The 21,892-nt window shown below is 36.9% G+C and overlaps 1 protein-coding gene across 20 annotated transcripts in view, besides 2 other annotated features; it reads left to right on the top strand.

Annotated features, from left to right (window-relative positions):
* EPS8 (EGFR pathway substrate 8, signaling adaptor) overlaps window positions 1–19,414 on the top strand; it is a 169,255-nt gene extending 149,841 nt beyond the window's left edge. For 19 of the 20 annotated variants that reach the window (NR_182221.1, NR_182223.1, NR_182222.1 and 16 more), the window contains 4 exons: window positions 7,884–8,106; window positions 15,141–15,321; window positions 16,261–16,390; window positions 18,118–19,414. Coding sequence is in view for 17 of the 20 variants with exons in the window: in NM_001413836.1 (NP_001400765.1) it covers window positions 7,884–8,106; window positions 15,141–15,321; window positions 16,261–16,390; window positions 18,118–18,231 (648 nt within the window). In the remaining 3 variants the exon portion in view is untranslated. Of the gene's footprint in view, window positions 1–86; window positions 123–7,883; window positions 8,107–15,140; window positions 15,322–16,260; window positions 16,391–18,117 lie in introns of all 20 variants that reach the window. The other variant, NM_001413831.1, reaches the window with a different exon arrangement.
* Window positions 10,149–10,293: an enhancer, noted in NCBI's record as "145 bp enhancer 23 fragment used in the MPRA reporter construct; PK_construct_1645". NCBI's record gives its function as "activates an SV40 promoter by MPRA in HepG2 cells {active_cell/tissue: HepG2}" and the evidence as "EXISTENCE:reporter gene assay evidence [ECO:0000049][PMID:23512712]".
* Window positions 10,215–10,228: a transcriptional cis regulatory region, noted in NCBI's record as "HNF4 motif; enhancer activity is reduced when this motif is scrambled". NCBI's record gives its function as "necessary for full MPRA enhancer 23 activity {active_cell/tissue: HepG2}" and the evidence as "EXISTENCE:site-directed mutagenesis evidence [ECO:0005528][PMID:23512712]".

The following is a 21,892-nucleotide window of genomic DNA, read 5'->3' as shown; positions in this document are numbered from 1 at the left end:
GAAATTATTTGCTGTGTTATGTTTTGGCTGGCCTCATGTGCATATATATATTATGTACTTATTTTATGTTCATCATTTGTCATTAGCTGTTGATGCCAAAGAAGGAGTTTGAGTTATTCAAGGTATGGTCTCCTCCATTTCCCATGGGTTTTTGAAGTGAATTTTCTTAGTTTTTATACCTTTTTCTTTTCTTAGTTCCTACTTTTCTGAGTTTAATATCTGTTTACCTAATATAATATATGCTTCTGTCTGGTTCATGAATACCAGTTCTTCATTTTCTTTCCCATAGAGGTAGTATATGCTTGAAACCTATACTTAAAATAATGGTAGAGTACATACCTTTGGGCTATATCAACTAATTTTAATATGCAGGTCATGGTAAGCTATGAGAAGCACTATTCATAAAGGATATCCCTGATCCCCATATGTGAGCAAAAGGCAAGAGTTTATATTTTAAGTTTTGAAAACAATTATCCAAATTTGTTTTATTTGTGTGTGTGGTTGCTAGGAATAAGCAAACTGCGATAAAATAAAAAACATGCAAATAGTATGAATTCTATAATAGGAATTTTCTCCTACCTGATATTCCTGAAAAGTTTAATATCTCTTACCTTTTGCTGTTTACTGTTCAGTCTTGTCTTTTTCTTTAATTCTGATTCTTGGCTTGAGCCATAAGTTGACTTTTCTGTTTAAAAGGTTGCTTCTGTCTAAAACTGAACCAAAACTATTAATATATATCATACGCAGGGAAAGTATTTTCAGAGAATGTCAAACCTATTCCTCCTTTCTTAAACAGAACCTCATCTTTTATTTTTGTCAACTTTGGCACAACCCAAGAAATGTTTTTAAGAGTTCACAAGTTTCAGGAGTTTGTTTTGCTACTTTATGTAAATAGAAACTTGTGGTTCTTATAGGGATTGCCTATTTGGCTATTTCGTTTTAAACTTTTCAACACTATCCTACTCTCTTCTTAAAAATTCGGGTTGCAACTACAAATGTAGTGGTGTGTGTAGAAATGTGTACAGAAGCTTTCTGTGTGTATGCAGAAGCGTATGCTGTTCAGGTTGAGGGCCCTACTTTGAAAATGTATTAAAAACAATCTGCTTTTTAACACCTCCTGAAAATTTTGGGCTGAGCTCAACAAAACCACTAAGACCTTGTAAAATTTTAATAAGCAAGCTTCACAGTCTGCTTTGCTATCTGCTATCTGGCATAAATCCTACTCTAAAAGGATTCCTATTCTCAAAACATTTATAATATATTCTTTAAAAAAAGAATAGAGTAAAATGGAAAAGAAAACATCCTTGGAAATATGTGCCAGTCATTTTTCTATCTCTACAACAGTAGATACCCATATCTACTGTTTCATATCTCTACAACAGTAGATACCCATATCTACTGTTTTATATCTCTACAACACCAGATACCCATATCTAAAATATCTAAGGAAGAATCCTGCAACTTATTTCAGAATGATAATTAAGATACCACCATATTTATGTAGATTCCACTGATCCTAATACCCTAACCTTATAAAACTCAACTGGATTACAATTTTATGTCTTACTCATCTTTTTATTCACTCATTCCACAAATACATATTGAGTACTGGCATCTCACACACTTGGTAAAAAGAACAATAGAAAGCCTAGCGCCGAGCAGATCCTTCCCGAAAGCCTGCATGAGTCCACAGGTCATCTGCCATGGCTTTGCTCCTTCCTGCATGCTTGCTGTATCAAGAGCAGCGTGACCCTCTTTCTCCTCCTCAGATATGGCCCACACATTTGTTTTCTCTTCCATCTGTCTCTTTCATCCAGTGATATCAAAACTTTGAAGAAATATAAAGAAACTTTAACAAAAATATTTTAGATTCCTGCACCATGCTGCCAAAAGGAAGCAATGATTCATTACTTAAATTTGCTTCACATTCACAGAAAACAACATTCACAGATACTCCTCTCTAGAGAAGATATGCCCGTGGCCAGTGCTCATGCTGTGCCAGGCATTGTTTGAGCACTTCGCAAATCCAAATTCATTTGATTCCCACAACAACCTTGTGAAGGAGGCACATTTTTTTGTAGGAAACTAAGGTGTAGGAGAAATAATTTGCCCAGATTTATACAGCTGTATGAAGCCAGGATTGGGCCCCAGCACTCTGGATCCAGAGCCTGTGCTGTGTTGCATTCTGCTGTTCTAGAGAATAGTGATTATAAAAGGTTCTCATTTCGGGTGGGCACAATGGCTCACGCCTGTAATCCCAGAACTTTGGGAGGCCGAGGCAGGCAGATCACTTGAGGTGAGGAGTTTGAGACCAGCCTGGCCAACATGGCAAAACCCTGTCTCTACTAAAAGTACAAAAATTACCCAGGCATGATGGCACACACCTGTAATCCCAGCTACTCAGGAGACTGAGGCAGGAGAATCGCTTGAACCCAGGAGGCAGGGGATGCGGTGAGCCGAGATTGTGCCACTGCACTCCAGCCTGGCGACAGAGCGAGACTCCGTCTCAAAACAAGAAGAAAAAGAAGAAAAAACAAAGATTGTCATCTCTTTTTGTATAAACCCATAGTTTTTCTCTGTATTAATGTTTAAAGTGATATTTTCTCAGAATAGCTTTACTTTGCATTATACTGTGATAAAAGTTGATCTGATCAGTCACAATCCTTGGAATTTGATTTTTGCTTTATGTATCCATTCACTGGATTTCATGGTATTGTTCATTATTTTATAATTTAGGAAAATAACCCAAATTATATGATTTACTTAGAATAGGACATTTTTGTAAGTGGTGGAAATAAGGGAATTAGATGTAAACTATTTCCATGCAACATCTGTGAGTCACCAAATACTTAAAAAAAGGGACAGTCATGACTCTTATTTTTATACCCTTACATTTCCTATAAAGACATATATATAAATAATGGCAGTTTCTGGGTGAAGGGCACAAGTGCAGCTCTTGCCTATTGTTCACACACTTTTTATCAGAGATTCTGTTCTGATGACAGGGATGCTCATACCAGGCAGTGAATAGGTGTTGAATTGCCACCTGGTGTCCCTGAGAGTCTAGGCTATTTAATATCCTCACATTTGAAGTGATTTTTAACAGCTCTGTAAAGACAACCATTCCCACCTAATGTATTTCCCCCATGGCTTCAGCAAAGTTTTAAACATAAAAGAGAAAGTAATAAAAATTTACAAAAGATATTGACACAAAAGATTGAATAAACCACAGAGAAAAGGAAGTAAATGCTGAGGAGAGATTATGGAGAGATAACATGTCTTGATAAAAATGTTGTAGAGCATTCCAAGGCTTTGTAGTATTTTAGCTGGGCAGCAGATGGACATCCAGGGTTCTTTCTCCCCACCTGGAAGCTACTTGCCACATAAAGTTTCCTGATCTTTATTTTGACTTGATTCTCTGACCTCTAGCCCTGTGACTGCTCGTCTGCTAGAATTACCCTTTTGCCCATTTAAATTTGCAAGGTATATGCCAAGAGCAGAAACCACCTCCTCCCGTGATGTTATTTATTATATATCCAATGGACTGACTAAAGAAGTCTTTCATATATTCTTAATTATTATCTATGCGTTTATTATTGTTATAGGTATTCTTACTCTACCAAGATGCAAGTAATTATGAATGTCCAGTCTCTGTGGTCACGTGAATTCAACAAAACGTTTCCCATATTCTTTATTGTCTAGCAAGAGATACTGTAATATGATACTGTGTGAAAAGCCCCAATCTAGGTATTGGTAGGTGAGGGTTCTAGTCCTTAAAGAGAGCATTTTATTTTTCTGTGTTCCAATTTGCTTGGTCATGAAATAGAAGGAGTCAGTTATGTGATCTCTACAATCCAGTCTAGGTATAAAATCTTCTCATTCATTATATACATGTTTAAATCACCCTAAAATAAAAGTGGAAATGTTTTGTACAGGTGACTACTAAACCGCTAACACTACTAATTTCAGCCTATGTTATTAGTGCTCTGTTTTTTAAGCTCAGTACAGACATTTAGCTACTGCTGGATAGAGTGACGATTTTACCAAAGATGGCTTATATTCTTCCAGCCAGGCCAACCTCCTGATAATATTCAGTTCTTCAAAAGTGTTTTTTAAAAATTAATATCAGAAGACTCTGCTCATTAATTATAGGCATGGTTTTTAGACAAAGATGTTTACTTTTTATTCTGTCACATGTATTGACATTTTCCCAGAGACTTCTTAATGATAATTTGAATAATACCCACTATAAATATATATATGTGTTTTTATACATATATAAAGTATTGATAATTACTGTCTGACATGCACATGTACATAATTTTATTAAATGTTCTATGTTCAGGCTGCTTAGAAAGTTTGAAACTAAAGCTCATTACAATCACACGATAATGCATGCAGTATTACCTTCTGTAAAATCAGCTAATTAAACAAGAATAACTCTTACATGTAATGCATTCTAATTGTATTCTTTATGAGCAATAGGAATAAAATAAACCTATATCTTAGTATTTTACTTGAATATACAAATAGTTACTGTTGAAGTACTTTACACGGTTTCTACTATAGTAGAATCTATATGATTAGTTTTCCATGGCTAGATAGTGATGGGAATTAATTATAGATTTACAGGCTCCTTCACTGGTTGATTGTGGGCATGTAATTTTACTGTCAGGCTAATTTACTCTTTCTGATATTTGATGTGAATTATAATTGATATTATTTTAATTCCATTTCCTGTATTAATTTTCTCATTTGATGTGATTTGCTCCATTTTCCTAATAGCAATTACTTGGCGAGCTGTCAGAGGTAACCCACATTCGTTCCCTCATGGCACTTCTTTTTAATATAATTTTTTGGATTCAGTCTCTCAACTTAACACCCTCCAAATGTTCCAGCTGTGCTTAGTTTTCACTGCAGAGTTCCCAAATAACCAAATTTAGAGGAAAAATGTGTAATTTAGAGTAGGTTAAATATTTAAGAACAGTTCAATTTTAATGGCTTTGTTGCGCTTACTTGCATAATTTCCCCTCTGAAGCAGCATCTTGTATGAATCAGGATCTTATCTCTCAATAGCATTCTTTAATTCTTTAGAATTTCTACTCAGCTTAAGTTGCTAAAGAAAAGTGACTCATTCCAACTTAATTATCAATAGGAAAGTAAATTTCCTATGAGGTCTATTAATTCTGCCTTCTTTCAGAGAAAGAGAGACAAAAAGATAGATTTTGCTTTTAACAGAACTTTGTGTTTGTGGGCTATCACAGGCAAGAGTAAGGAAGTGACAGTTGGGTGCAAAAGTAGGTCCACACCAGGCTGACCAACCCTCCCAGTTCCCAGCTGGGGAGTCTGAGGGGTTTGTGAAGATGTGGAACTTTCAGTGCTAATTACTGGGAAAGTCTCAGGCCAACCAAGAACAGTTAGTCAGAATTTCTTTTTTGGATTTGGAGCTTCAGTACGTTGGTTCAGGAGAAAAAAGTTCAGAGTGCACTTCTGTTCTCCAAGACATTACGTAAACTGAGATACGTTGGAATCATTAACTCTGTAGCTTCAACAAAAAATAGCCAAAAGACAGACATAAGGAAAGGAAGAACAGTAGTTGGGTGTTAGGTAAAGAGGAGTAGAGAAGCTAGGGAGGGAGACAGAAAAGTGACGTTAGGAGTCAGTGCTGATTCTTTTTCTTCCACATGAAGAATTTCAAACCAGTTTCCATGGAAGAGCTGTCTAGGTTGCCATTCAGAACCAGTTGTCACGATTCAAGGAAGGTACTTTGCCCCTTTTAATGTCAGAGGTTGGAAACATGGGGCAGGAGGAGAGGACTAAGGAAAGAGGAAAATATGCAAGTAAATATAATTTATGGCATACATTTTCATATGGGTTTCTTTAATCAAATATGTATTTTAAACCTATTATTTTGGTAGGTCATACTGATAAAGTTGCATTATGTAACAATGGCATGAATGAAATAAAGCACAGAACATTTGGTGAGTTTGTTTTCAGGCTTGATTGTGACAGTAACACAGTTTATTCACTTTCTCACAATAGTATTTGATGAATAGCAAAAGCAAAAATTATGAATCATATGGAAAGCAGGGCTCATGGCATTTTTGTTTGTTTAGGCTTTAAAAACAATAATTGAAACTATGATGCTTTTGAAACACTAATGTGAGAATTCATTTGCCCTTCATGAAATTACGTGCAGAGGACATTCTTGTCAAGGGAACATTGCATATACATTAATCAGATGACTTTGGTGTGTGCTAAGTATTACATTCTGGTGATGTTTGCTGTATTTTGACTGCTTTAAGTATTTTATTGGCCCAAATATAGGAAGATTGTTTGTGGGGAATAATAATAACAATTCATTCTTTCATTCTAATACAGTATTGAATACATTAAAAATATTTCTAAGCCTTGAATGCTAAGGGGATTAGCAACTCAGTTTCTGTCCCACCTAACTCCTTCTCTTACTCTGAGAATCTTACCCTTTACTCCCTCCTTCCCTCCTGTCCTGCCTCTCTCCTCCTTGCCCTCCTTCTTCCCTCAGCATCTACCAGCATTATAAACACTCCTTTCAGATATACTTCCATCCTTTCATAATACGCTTCCCACTTCCTTGACCCCATCCCACTGGTCAGTGAGTAGTAGAGCGAGCTGAAAAGAATGAGGGCTCCTTCCCACACCGGTTTCCACAGGTGTTAGTCATTTGCCGTGAAGTGGACTGATGAAGGTTGATGTGTTGTTTTTGAGTAATAGTTTAATTAAAAAGTGATGTGTCTGTGTGTGGTGTGTATTTTTGTTTTTGATCTCTGTGGAAATTGGGAGGACTCTGTTAAAATCAATACTACCTGATATTTGGGCCATTTTAGAATTTAAAAGTAAATACTGTTCTAATCAAAGGACCAGATTACCAAAAGGTCTTTTTGCATGTAATATGCTAATCCTAAATTAGAATAATTAAAATTGTGCCAGTGCAGTATCTAAACTTTGCCTTAATTACAAATAATTGTCCTGTATCTTTGATTCTAAAAAGAAAATGTGCCTTTTGAGAATTTGGAGACTCTCACAATGCATTATCTATTAAAATTATTTTACTTAGATTTAAAGTGTTAACTATTATGTGTGTTTTAAATAGGGAATATGCACAAATGCTGTTTTATAAGTATGCCTAACAATCATGATTTTAAAATTATTAAAAAGCATTTTGTCACACCTACCTTTTTTAATACAAATGGCCACAGGTCCCTTTCTAGTATTCGTTTGTAAGTTGCAATCATAAACATTTAAAGACCATACCATTACCCTCACAACCATCCACCCCGTGACATTTCCATTTTAACAAGGGAAATTTCTAATTTTAATAAATTAGCATTAAGATGATGGCAGAAAAAGTTATGCCTTGAACAAAATAATACCAATATTTTAAAATTATTTATTGGAAACAAAATTAAAAATCTTTGAATATAGCGTACATTTAAAATGAGTAAGTGATGCTTTATGCTGTTGACATTTAGACTTCCAGTGCAATTGGAAATTATTATTAGCATAAATTAAAAAATAATTATAAATCTTTCTGCCTCCCCTCATCTTGTGTGATTCCAAGCCCAAATTCTGTTTTCTTGACATTTATTACTATAATACTACTATTTGCTATTGACGTAGCCTTGTGACTCCTTAACTAATGTTTTGACTTTGAACAAATTATGTAGAATGTTTAAAATATGATTTTTAATGGTCATTATACCATATAGGATTACAGATAAATGAGTAATGGGTTTGCAAGTAAGTTTAAAAATAGCCAACAATGTCCTATCAAAGTATAATTTGTTTTCCTAGCCTAGGTTTATATTTTTTAAATTTTAAGTTAATTATTTGTCTTTTTATAGAAACAAAGGATGGAGTATGGCCCAAGACCAGCTGATACTCCCCCTGCTCCATCACCTCCTCCAACACCAGCTCCTGTTCCTGTTCCCCTTCCCCCTTCCACTCCAGCACCTGTTCCTGTGTCAAAGGTCCCAGCAAATATAACACGTCAAAACAGCAGCTCCAGTGACAGTGGTGGCAGTATCGTGCGAGACAGCCAGAGACACAAACAACTTCCGGTGGACCGTAAGTTTCCCAGGGAGGCAAAAAATGTCTTCTGCAAATTAAAAGCACTACTAAGTAAAATATTGTTTACTGCTGATTCTACTTGTATTAAAGTCCTTTATACTTGCATGGTACTTAATAGATTGCAAAGATTTTCACCTGGTTTCTCATCAGCTACGTAGTTCTGAGAAACAGGAAGTATTCTCTCCACTCTCTAATGCATGCCTTTCTACTCCTTTTCCAATCTGTTATGATAATTGAATGCAGACTCTGGAGCCAGACATCCTGGAATTTGTATACCAAAACAACACTTGCCAGCTTCCTGACCTTCAATGATTTAATTATCCTCTCAGCACTTCAATATCTAAAAAGTGGAGAAAAATAATAGTATCTGCTTCATAGGATAAGTGTGAGGATTTAATGAGATAATGCATAGAAAGCATCTACTTCAGTGCTTCTCAGCCAGGAGCGATTTTGTCTTCTTCTCCATCCTTCTGAGGACATTTGATATTGCCTGAAGACATTTTTGGTTGTCAAAACTGGGGGGATGCTACTGATGTCTAATGGGTAGAGACCAGGGACACTTAGCAACAATTACAATGCACAGGACAGTCCCCAGCAACAGAGTTATCTGGCCCAAAATATCAATGGTGCTGAGGTTGAAAACCCCTGACTGATTTTGACCCCTGTATGACACGTAATATGCAGTCACTAACTACATCCTGCTGTCGCCATCATCATCATCATCATAACCTTCCTACTTCTCTTCCTCTTGTTTGCTATTCACAGTAGCTGCACAATCACACTATGTTAATATAATCACCTGCCAATAGTAGTCTCAGATTTAGCCTCCAAATTCAAATTTCATGTGACTTACACTTCAGTGCCATATTTTCATAACTTGAAATTTGATGTTTCATATAAATGGTTTCTATGAAAACCATATTTAAGTAAACTAAAAAGACACTATGACCAACTTTGGATTATCCTTATTTGTATTATTGGTGAATAGCAGTGTAGATATTTTGAAAACTGAAGGTAGTTTTAAGATAAATTTTGTTTAACCTTGTAGTATATGGCATGTCAATTTAATCTCCAAATTTGGTGTTTTAAACGTATTATAAAGTTACTTGGCTTTACCTATACTTGATGTGTAAAAACTCTTGGAAAACCAGAGCTATGAAGATATTTCATATTTCCCCAATATGACAAAAGTATATGAAGTGTGTGTGTGTATGTGTGTGTGTGTGTGTGTGTGAGTGAGAGAGAGATAGAGAGACAGAGAGAGAGAGATGGATATCTATCTTTCCCTCAATGTGGGCCTCTCTTAGGGTTCTGCCTTCGTTTTCCACATAAACATACTTTTACTGTAGTTCATTCTATTTCCATTTCTTTCAATACTATTTATATTGTTGGGAAAAGAATGATTCCCAAATTAGTCATCGTATTAAAACTCATCTCTGACATCCAGATACCAGTATGGAACTATTAACTTTATAGCTGAGATTGGATGCTTTCTATTTATGTTCAAAACTAAATGGCTGAATCTTTCACTCCCATTTTCATCCTACTGTTTTTCTCACGTCAGTAAGTTATTGCCACATCTGTTCAGTTGTGGACATTCTTGATAAAATAAAAAATAAAAAAGACACTAAAACTATTACTATTTAACAATTCTAAAAATTCTGGTTAAATGCAATAAGCATAAGCCTACTTTTACTCATTAATTTTTCTCCCACGGTATGTCCAATTTAAATGACTGTCATATCTATCTTGCCAGGAAACTAAAGGAAAAATGAAGTTTTGGAAAAGTGATTAGCTCTTTCTGTACAGCAAAAACAACTGTGTGCGTGAGTGTGTAGAACCATAATAAAATAGAATATGCTACTAAGTTTTTAAAATTATGTGGAGTTTTTAAAAAGAGTTTTCTTTTTCAAATACACTAAAGACATAGTTTTAAGATGAGAAATTTCTATAAATATTTTTATTGAGTTCCCTAAGGAGAAAACTTCCTCTTAGAAATGACTGTTCTCTTCTTTATTCTTCCCACAAGTTTATAGCATTTCCCTCCGTAGAGACGTCAGCACAGTCATCTTTGACACGGTGGGACTCTTTATCCAGGCCTAGCTAGGATCAAAGTTCATCGGCCTCCAGTCCCCATTTGGAGCAGTGTGTGGGTTAGGACAGTCTGTTCTTTGTTCACGCTGAGAAACCAAGAATAACCTAGTGGGAAAGAGGCATAGTTTGCATACTTTTAAAGATAGAGAACTCTCCTGATAATTGTGACTCATCATGTTGAAGTCTGTTTTTCATAAGTAAAAGGGTGGCATTGGTGTATAAAATATAAACATCTCTCCCAAAATTAACACACATACTTGTTTCCTTAGAATATTAAAAATCTTACAATATATTTGCAACTTATGTAAGTTCCTTTTTAAAATATCTCAAAAATACAGTTTGGCATTAAATAAATATATTTCTTTTTATAAAACAAATATTTCTTGATAACTTTATTGCAGAACAGTTTTTCTCTGAATGAATGTTGGGGCTTAATGTTCTTTTAGAACCAGACAGTAGCACATATTTCAGTGTGTGTTTATTGATAGCCAAATTTCTCTCAAAATATGCCTACTCATCTACCCACATTCTCTGCTTACTGCCTAAACTTCTGGTAAAAATAAAATGAAAGGAACTAGGAAGTAAATACTCATAGAAATCTATCAAGTAGCAGCTATGAACAGGGGAAAAAAGCCAACATGCCTGTTTTTACAACGTAGCAAGTGGCAAGAGTGAAGCCCTTTTGTGGAAGTCTGTGTGTTGCCTATTCAAAATAACTGTGAAGCCTTGTGTCATAGAAGCTATTCAGGCTGTTTTATCGCAGGATCCCAAAAGGTTCTCCTTTTATCGCTTTTAAGATGCCAAACTTTAGTTGCTTTGTATTTCTCCCATTTCCTTTGAAATGGTAGTCCTTTTATTCGAATTTAATCTTTTGTAATCAGAGTGTTACTTTAGAAAGGTGTAAAGTTATTCTGGTTTGCTGTTGTGTGTTAGAACATTGGAAATGGAAAGCAAAAGCCCAGGAACATGTTAGGTGGAGGTTTTTTTGTCCTTCCTGGAAGAAAACTATGCTGTGGACTGGTGATGATTGATATACTGACTAAGTCAGCAGATGAGAAACCAAATCTTTTAGTGTGGTGATACATTTTATTTTTTATTCTTTTGAGATGCACTCATATGCTGTTTGACAGTTTGTTGTAGTGATTTTTTAAAAGGTAGCTAATGAAATGCACATAATGTATACTTAAATGTAACAATCAATAGTATTCTCTCTTACTCTCTCTAGCACCCCCTACTCCTCCCTCCCTCCCTCCCTCCCCTTTTCCCCTTTTTTGATTACTTCAAAAGATTTCCTAGATACTTGAGGCATTAAAAAAAATTAGACTGAAATAACACTAACTATTCACACTTTCCCTTATTTCCCAGGGGCACCAAACACTTTCTAAAACCCTTTCCCTAGGGGGGAAAAATCATAGAACATTGGTCACAAAAAGCTCCCTAAGTGACCAGGTTATTGTCACTTGCCAACTTAATTAGATTGTTCTTATTTCTTGAAAGTGAAAACAAACAACGAACATAATGTACCTATGTATATATACACACATATTTTAAAATACACAGACACATGATTCCCCTTCCTGTACTTTTATGCCTTTCCTATTTTTGTCATGACAGTATGTTCATATACACACACATCTTTTCCATTAGCATAAATGGCTAGGAAAAAGGAGTAGCTAGGGAAGTTAATCAAAGGTGATTTTAATGACTTTGGCTATAAAACAGCCCTCTGCTGAAAGTCAGAAGATCCAGTTCTAGCTAAATTATTCTACTAATTGAAATGTGACTTTGACAGATCATTTCTCTGTTTTTGGCCTTCATTTTCTTATCTGGTTATGTAAGGGGTTTGTACATGATGATTCTCAAAGTCTCGGTGAAAAAGTCAGCAGAATGCCTCATTCATTCATTTATTCAACAAGTATTTATTGAATTAAAGCACCGTTCCACGTATTAGGATATAGATGCAAGCAAAAAAGGGAAGCATCCTTTTTCTCCTCAGGCTTATATTTTAATGAAAGGAGGTAGGTTAAAAAACGATTAAGTTGGCTGGGCGCGGTGGCTCATGCCTGTAATCCCAGCACTTTGGGAGGCCAAGGTGGGTGGATCACGAGGTCAGGAGATTGAGACCATCCTGGCCAACAGGGTGAAACCCCATCTCTACTAAAAATACAAAAATTAGTTGGGCATGGGCATGGTGGCACACGCCTATAGTCCCAGCTACTCCATAGGCTGAGGCAGGAGAATCGCTTGAACCCAGGAGGCGGAGGTTGCAGTGAGCCAAGATTGTGCCACTGCACTCCAGTATGGCAACAGAGTGAGACTCTTTCTCAAAAAAAAAAAGATGATAGACAAAACTATCTATCAAGAAGGTGGTAAGTGGTTTGGAGACTAATAAAACTATGTGGATAGAGAGTGCTTTTGGGGAGGGATTGCAGTTTTATATACATCAGGGGAAATAGAAAGGTGGGGAGGAGTAAGCTATGTGGAGATGCGGGGGAAAGCATTCCAGACAGAGCAGACTAGAGTGGCCTTTAAATTTGAAGAGCACCAAGGGAGCCATTGGGAGCAAGAGTGAAGGGCTCCAGAAGAGTTGTGGAGTGGCTTTAGAGTGGTGGAGGTCTTGTAGGGCCTTTTACTGGGAGTAATTAGGATCACTTGGGAATGTTTTGAGCAGAGGGGCTGCAACATCTGACTTGCATTTTTTTTTTTTTTTTTTTTTTGAGACGGAGTCTTGCTCTGTTGCCAGGCTGGAATACAGTGGCGCTATCTTGGCACACTGCAACCTCCGCCTCCTGGGTTCAAGAGATTCTCCTGCCTCAGCCTCCCGAGTAGCTGGGGCCACAGGCACATGCCACCACGCCCAGCTAATTTTTGTATTTTTAGTAGAGACTGGGTTTCACCATGTTGGCCAGGATGGTCTCGATTTCTTGACCTTGTGATCCGCCTGCCTCAGCCTCCCAAAGTGCTTGGATTACAGGCATGAGCCACCTAGCCTGACTTACATTTTAAAAGAATCACTTAGTTGTTATACTGAGAAGAGAATGAAGAGAAATGGGTAGGGTGGTAGGGAGTGGAAGCAGAGAGATCTGTTAATAGGCTGGTAACTCAGACCAAGCTGGCAACAGAAAAAATACAGTGAAATCATTGGATTTTGGATACATTATGAGGTCAGACTAACAGGATCTGCTGATGGATTGGATGTAGTATAGGACAGGAATCAAGTGCAGCTCCGTGGTATTTTGCCAGAACTGGAAAGATAGAATTGTCATTAAGTGAGTTGAGAAGTCTAAAAAGCAAGTCTAAGAGTTCATAAAAGCAAGCTTCAGGAAGAAGATCGGGAATTCAGGTTTGGGCATGCTATATTTGACATGCATTTGAGCTATTTAAGAAATACCCAAATGAATATATCAAGTAGACAGCATATATGCACCCAAGTTCCGAGTAAGAGGACTGGAAAAATAATTTGGTAACCATCATCTTTTAAATGGCCATGAACCTAAGCACAGTGGTCATTGATGGAGGTAGTGCTGGCAGAGATGAGTCTCAGGAGTGTCCCCTAGAGCACCTTAATATTACTTAGTTGGAGAGATGAGAATATTCAGAAGAGGATCCAGAGAAGGGGAGTCCAGAAACATGGGAGGAAAATGAGGAGACTGTGGTATCCTGGAGGCCACAGGGAGAAAATGTTTCAAGGAGGAATCTTCTGCTTCAAATGTGTGCTGATAGGTTAAATAAGATAGTAGCTGGGAAAGAATTGGCTGGAGTTTAGCAAAGTGTAGTAGAGAGATGGGGGGAAAAGCAAAATTGAATTTCGGCGACATTAAGAGAAAATAGGAGAATGGGAATTGGAGTCCACTAGTACAGGCAACTTTTCGTGAACTTTGCTGTAAAAGGAGCAGAAAAATGGGCAGTAGCTGGGAAAGGACATGGTAAAAAGGACTTGTTTAAAGGTAACAGAAATCATAAAATAATAGCATGTTTGCAGGCTGATGAACTGATTCAGTGAAGAAGGAAAATTAATAACAGGATAAATAAGGGAGAAATGACTCAGTATTTGAATAGGCAGAGAACTTGAGGCCTAGTGCATACATGGATAGTTAGCCTTGGGAGCAGGGAAACAGCTCTTATATAACATAATAGGAAGGCAGGCAGAACATATGGGGAAAGTGCTGTTAGGAAGAACTACTAGAGGAACTTACGGAGGTTTTCTTCTAACTATTTTATTCATAAATTAGGAAATGAGATCAGCTCAAGGTGAGGATTGGGGAATAGGGTTAGAAGTTTGTAGAGAGAAAGTAGAATATATTCAATACTTGTCTAAGACAGTGGGCAGTTACATGACCTTAGGCAGGACTTCTTGGCCTTTGAGGCTGGGTTATTCTCTGCTGTAGGAGAGGCTGACATTATAGAATGTTGTGTGCATCCCAGGCTTCTACCCACTGTGTGACAGCAGCAGCCTTTCCCCTTTTTCTCCCTCAATTGTGACGACCAAAAGTGTCTCCAGATATTCCCAAATGTCCTCTGGGGCCAAAACTGTCCCCAGTTGAGAGCCACCAGTCTAAGGAAATGTAGTATAATTGTCAGGAAGCATTAACAGCCAAGTTAAGGTTCATAATCATGAATTTAACATGAGATCATTCAGCATTGTTGTGTTATATTCAGCTGTGCAGGTGCAGGCACAGAATACGCAGAAAGTTAGGTTTAACCAGGATTGGGGTTTTGCCAAAGGAGTACAATGAAGAGACTAGAGAAGAGCCAGGGAGTTATTTTAATAATTGATCATGGCATTTATACCAGGCGAGGATAAAAGTGAGGAAAGATGGTAGGAACACTAGACTGTAGGTCCTACTGGGGTCAAGGATTATAGAGATTGGGGTTCTAGAGAGGGTGATGTAATATTAGGGATTTTCAAAAAGAACCTACTCCCTGTTGGTGTCTAGGAAGGAAATCTCAGATGGAGGAAGTGCAAGATGAACTCATCCACAGACTGACCATTGGTCGGAGTGCCGCTCAGAAGAAATTCCATGTGCCACGGCAGAACGTGCCAGTTATCAATATCACTTACGACTCCACACCAGAGGATGTGAAGACGTGGTTACAGTCAAAGGGATTCAACCCTGTGTGAGTCTCTCTGTGAATACTTTGCAATTCTGTGTGTACAACATGCATTGTTTTCAATTTGCTTAGTTAGATGTCACAGATAACTGTTATAAAACATAAGGGCACAGACTGCATACTTTGTGCCATACTCAAGAACTCACTATAGCTGTTCATAGCTGAAAAAGAACTAAAATAAGCATAAATAATTATTCTGATGCCACCCCATTTTCGAATTGGTAGTATCTGTTCATTATTAGTTCTTTAAGCAAACTATTGGCAGCTTTGAGGCCCAGTAGCTTCTTTTCTCCATCAGATTACTGTGATGTAACCTAGGTAGGACCATGGTCTTAGCTGAACTTCCTAGACCACATAGGACATAGAGCATAAGCTTTCCTCCTGCTGCAGGATATAGTGTCTCTGGCAAATAAAAAATAGTGTTACCTAGCATCAATTATAATCTTAATAGAACTTTTCCTTTAATAAACCCATAGTAAAGGTTCTATTTATCTATCTAAAAGTCTATAAACATTTCATATGTATTTGGCACAATGAACTATTAGAATAATACATATTCAAGGGACCTTGACATATTATAAACTCACCTACCCAGCATGATTGAAAAATGAGATACAATGGTTAGTCAATTGCCAGGTTACTAGAAAGTTATCTATTCCTTCTATAAAACACCAAATCCCAAGAATTGGTATTAAACAATGACCCTAAACCGAATTGGCTCATTTTTGATACTTTGTAATTAATAATCTGTATAGCCTCAGGGTCATCATCATGAAAGAAACTTGTCATTGCCCTAACTATAAAGACTGTAGTGGCATTTAATAAGGGTTCCAGGGTATGGAACGCTTAGAAAAGAGAAGTTACTAGCAGGAACAGATAATTTTCTCCTTTGTTTGTAGGCAATATTTTTAATGCTCAGTTTCTTTTTCCTTTTTTTTTTTTTAGGACTGTCAATAGTCTTGGAGTATTAAATGGTGCACAACTTTTCTCTCTCAATAAGGATGAACTGAGGACAGTCTGCCCTGAAGGGGCGAGAGTCTATAGCCAAATCACTGTACAAAAAGCTGCATTGGAGGTATGACTTGTCAACCTAAGGTGGTGTTTTTCTGCAAATTGAAAGCTCTGGAAACAACTATTTATGTCCATATTGGCCAATTTCCCTTTCTTAACAGAGCTGAATTAAATTTAACTCTGCTTTTGTAAATTTGTCACTGAGATCATCAATGACAGTTTCCAGAAGGTTAATTTGTTATAAATGCTCATATGATGTGAAGCTTGAGCACATACTTTTGGAAACTTGACAAAAAGCATAATGTTCTCATTTTATATGTATTGACTAATTCTATAGGAAATTTAATTTTGACATAACAATGGAAATTAGCTTCTGAGTGAGTAAGAGCCTTAAGAGGCCAGAATCCTTGCCTATTCTTAATATTTTTTTTTTTTTGGAGATTCTAATAACGTATAGGTTATAAGATTGTAAAACCCTGGCTGTGTGTGTTAGGTCTAGTAATACATCTCAATAATCGGGAAAGATACATTAGGTAGAGATCACTGAAAATAGAGAGCCTGGAAAAGTATTTAATCACAATGGTCTGTATGAAAGCAGGAGAGTCATGTTTTCTAGATTGCTTTATACTTAAGCTTCCAATATCCTATTTTAGACTTAAAATGTGCTATATACGGGTAGTAGTTTCCAACTGTTACATCTCACAGCTCTTAATAGTTTCATGAAAATTATACTTGGACTCAAATGAAAGAATGTAGGCTTTGGCATGAAATTGATCCATAATCATCTCTAGCAGGTATATTCTATAAATTCAACAGTTAAATAATTCAGGGTAAAATCACTTCATGCGTATCACCCCGTAGCCATTCTGAATCAAGAGAAACCATATTTCCCTTGGAGGTTTTCCCTACAACATTGATCTTGAAGGCTCCATATTAAAGTTTGATTTGATTGCTTTCCATATGTTGAATATTAATAAGGATTATATATTTTTCTCAAGCAGTTTTATTACCACTATATTTAATTTTGTTGAGAGTATATAATTACTTCTTCAAGGTATGTTAGAAAATGCCATATTCCTAAAATTCTGAATTCCTTCATCCCACACCTGCCTATCATTATTGTCATTTGCTGTCACCACCCACTTCAGGATGGTCTCTTGCTTCTTGTTCTCTTCCTATTCTCTGCATGGGAACTGAGGCAGAGGCTGACTACCTGAGGTTCTTCATGTTCCTCAGCCACCTTCTACCACCTCACCCTTTCCTTGGATCTAGTTAATCTTTTAGATTATTTGCCTGTGTTGCCAGAGACTTCTGTTGATGGGAAAGGAGAAAAGCCAGCATGGTCGGAGGGTCAGAACTATATGGAGGGGAAACTGGGTGAATTCTGAGCCCACTCTGGCCTGAGTTAAAATCTTCTAAAGGCAGATCAGTATCTTGTTTGAGCCCAAAAGAGTCCTTTGATAATTTACCATGTTATTATGCTTATTGTACACATTTCCTCTTTCTCTCAGCAAACCTAGAGTACTATACATACATTATTGATTTATCTTTATCATGTTCAAATGAAAGGCCTGGTGAGTGAATTGCCTTAACAGACTTTACAAAATGAAAAATTATTAATGTGATATATTAGTGAAGTGCAGAAGCTTCACTTAAAAAGTAGAGCTGTTAGCTTTCCTAAAGAGATACTAGAAGAAAACCACAGTAGAATTTTATCCTGAGCCATTTCATGATATGACCTGCAGCCTGCACAAGTCAGTAACTATCTTGTCTGAACTGTTTATCTTTCAGGATAGCAGTGGCAGCTCCGAGTTACAAGAAATTATGAGAAGACGACAGGAAAAAATCAGTGCTGCCGCTAGTGATTCAGGAGTGGAATCTTTTGATGAAGGAAGCAGTCACTAATTTGTTTGTTTGTATTTAAACTCCATTGTTTTTGGCATTATTCCAACATGCTTTGTTTTAAGAAGCCTTGAAGGGAATGTCAGATTCATTTTTCTTGATGTAATTTATCACCATAAAAAAAAACCCATGCAAACCTGAGTGAGCACAGGATTTGCTTCTAGGCCCATTATTTTTATTAAAACTGAAAAAATTTAAACTGAATTTTTTGACCTTGGAAAATATTTTTCTTACTTTACCAAGGTGAAGTTTCCTTAATTAGACTAATTATTTTATCCCCATCCCAGGGTATAAACAGGAATTGTTTTGATAGTGGTGGAGTTATTCACTGCAACAAAGCAACAATGTTGTCCATGATTCAAAATCTAAGCAGTTTCGATTTTGCCTGTGAATATGGTGTCTGTCATTCAGGGCATAGCTCACTGTAGGCTAGCCTCTGCTTACTTAAGTCTCTTCTCTGACATACTCAATGGAAGAATATTTAGATTTATTTAAAGTTCTTAATGCCAACAGTTTAAAAAAAAATTAAAACATTTGAATGAACTGTAAAGTACAGCCATACCTTGGACATGCAAATATAAATCTATGGAGCATTCTCAAGAGAGTTTGTCATGGCTCTGTTGATTGCAACTCCTTGTATAGCTTGTATTTTGATTTAGTTTATATTCTGCTTATTATGTATACTGTGTTCTTATATATGAGAAAGCACAAATGCGAAAGAGGTCATGTCTTCTCAAAATCTAGCAAAGGAAGTAGTCTGCATTGGTGTGCATTACAGTATTTTGCTTAATGAAAGCCTCAGTTCTGAATGTTGATATGAGTAGTTAAAAGGAAGTGGGGCCATTTTATGTGTTTATCTGTGTCAAGTATTTCTGGTAATAAGAAGCACTTAATTTACACATATTTTAATCCTGTGAAAGATTCCACATAGAGAAAAGAAAGATACCTAACCTTCAACAAATGTTATTTTTGGAAACACAATTTTTGTCATTAAATGTTATATTATTTCACATATATAAAACAGATGTTATGTAAGAATGTTGTATATTTTAACATAAATCATTTAGAGAAATTATCTAGATTCATTAATTTTCATAGTGCCTTTTTCACATGAGTCAGCTGGAAAGTCTGCAATAAACAGTATTTGCTGTCTGTTAATAAATGGTTTCTGTCTCATTAGCAAAAAGGATCTGTGCTAGATCGGCTGAGGATTCGAGTTGAATGCAATGGGAAAAAGTAGAGATCCACATTTTAAAAAAACTATATATTATTCTATTTCTGAGTGGGTAGAGAAACTCTAGAATACTTTTTTCGGTTGTTTTTCTTCTTTTCGCCTCTTGTTTCATCATCTTTTCCTTCTACCATCTAGTCATATTTGGTAATGGTAATGGAACTAATTTACACTGCGCTTACGATTGCTAAATGCTTCCATATAAATGCTTTCCTGGATATTTACAACAACTCTATATGAATTATTACAGATGAGGAGATTTAGCTTCCTAGAAGCTAATTTTCCCCAGATCCTGAAGGATGTGGGAGTTTCTCATCTTCTATCTCTCGGTCTCTCTATAACACTGCCCTTTGGATAAAGTGGAACAAACATGAGCATGATAAAGGTGAATTAGTTTAGATCTTTTACATTTCATAAGGACTGATACATATGTATAATTTAGCCTTTATTGAAAGGGATAAGATGAAAGAAAATAAGATCCAAAAGTTAAGATAACCTGCGTGTAAAATAGCAGACGGATATGAAAAGAATTGGTGTAATTTACATCTTTATGCTATAAGATGCCAAAGGAATGTATCACAGAGGTAGTAATTGCAGAAAGCAGTCACATCAGCTAAGGATGTGGGGACAAAGAGAAGAGGTTCCTGGAATTTAGAATCTTGAGGGAGCAGCACCACAGAATTTGGATCCAGACATCTGAGGGGTTTGGTCACTGGTATCTGAGGATTTGAGGAAAGACCCCACAAAGCTAACAGGGGGACACAGCCTAATCAGTGTTTTTGCCTCAGGTATTCAGAAAAGATTTCAGGAATTGAACAACAGGTCAGAAAATCCATGGCTCTGGGACTTAGACTTTGGAGAAGAGCATGGCAGGTAGCTGGTGCTTGAATCTCTAAGAGGGCACAATGAGGATGCCTCTGGGAGCCTAGGGAATAGAAAACTGGTAAATTGAGCCAACTACTGCTGCTGGGAATCATTTGCTACTTACTGAGTGAAGAACCACTACTGGGGTTGTGTTGGTAGCAACAGAAAGTAAAACAGGAGGGAGAAGCCCCTTGTTCCCTCTCTAGCCTTCTATCTCCCTGTAGCACATGCTTTCGGCACAGTCTATTGAGCATGCACCTGACAAAGCCCCAAATCTCAAAGATGAGAATTAAGGGATGGATTTGAAACTGAGAGAATAACTCATAACCCATTCCAATCTCTAGTACTTAGCCTCTACACTTGCTCTTCTGTACATATCTGAAATTTCATACAACAATAATTTTTTAAATGTGGGCCAGGAGCAGTGGCTCATGCCTATAATCCCAGTACTTTGGGAGGCCAAGATGGGAGAATTGCTTGAGCCCAGGAGTTCAAGACCAGCCTGGGCAACAAAGTGACACCTCATCTCTACAAAAAAAAGTAGCCAGGTGTGGTGGCATTCACACACAGTCTGTGTTACTTTGGAGTCCAAGGTGAAAGTGTCGCTTGAGCCAGGAGTTCAAGGTTGCAGTGAGCCATGAGTGCACCACTGAACACCAGCCTGGGTGATGGAGTGAGATCCTATCTCTAAAAAAATTGATTAAAAAAATTTAAAAGATAGAAAAAGCTTATGATTTTACCTAACAAGGTGCAATCATCTTTCTCTGTTATTTTAGTAGTATTTAATGTAGAGTACTTAATGTAAAGAATTGTTAAACAGGCAAAAAGAGAACACTTAAGACATCACAGAGGTGGTTATAATAGGAAGCAGCTCCTATCTAGGGCTACAGAGCAAAGGGAAGGGATTAGGTTTATCAGCATTTAGAAGCTTGGAAGGAGAGTCCTAGAAAGCTTGGACTGGGACCCATGAAGAGGAGGCACGGTCTAGTGTTGGTCCTGGTGCTTCAGTAGCACAGAGGAGAGCGCCCTGTAGAGCTGGGACAGAGACCTCTGAGGAGGAGATTCTGGCCATTTGATGCCGGCACCTCTGAGAGAGTGCAGTGATGTTGGTCCCAAAAATGTTAGGGCAAAAACTAAAACAGAATCACCTGCTGCTACTGGACTCAACTGGTGATGCCAGAGTAAAGATCTATTTTGCTGGCTTACAGCCAATTGGTTTTTGTGTGCCTTTGTGTGGTTTTCTTGTTTCTTGTTCTTCGTGTTGAGCTTCTTGGAACTGTGGAATTATAGCTTTTATTAAATTTGTAAAACTTTTAGCCATTATTGCTTTAATGTTTTTTCTGTCCCTCCTACTTTCTCTTTTTGAGAGATTCCGATATATGTGTATTAGGCCATTTGAAGTCTTTCCAAGGTCATTGAGGCTCTGTTAATTTTTTAACAAGTTTTTGTTTCGTCTGTTTTATTTGGGTAGTTCCTATTGCTGTCTTCAAGTTCATAACCTTTTATTCTTCTATTTCTAATCTGCTTTTAATTGCTTCCATTATATTTTCATCTCAGACGTTATAGTTT

This window comes from Homo sapiens, chromosome 12 (genome assembly GCF_000001405.40).
Source record: "Homo sapiens chromosome 12, GRCh38.p14 Primary Assembly".
Taxonomy (NCBI): Eukaryota; Metazoa; Chordata; class Mammalia; order Primates; family Hominidae; genus Homo; species Homo sapiens.
Note: the sequence above shows the minus strand (reverse complement) of the source record. Positions and strands in the feature narration are given on the sequence as shown.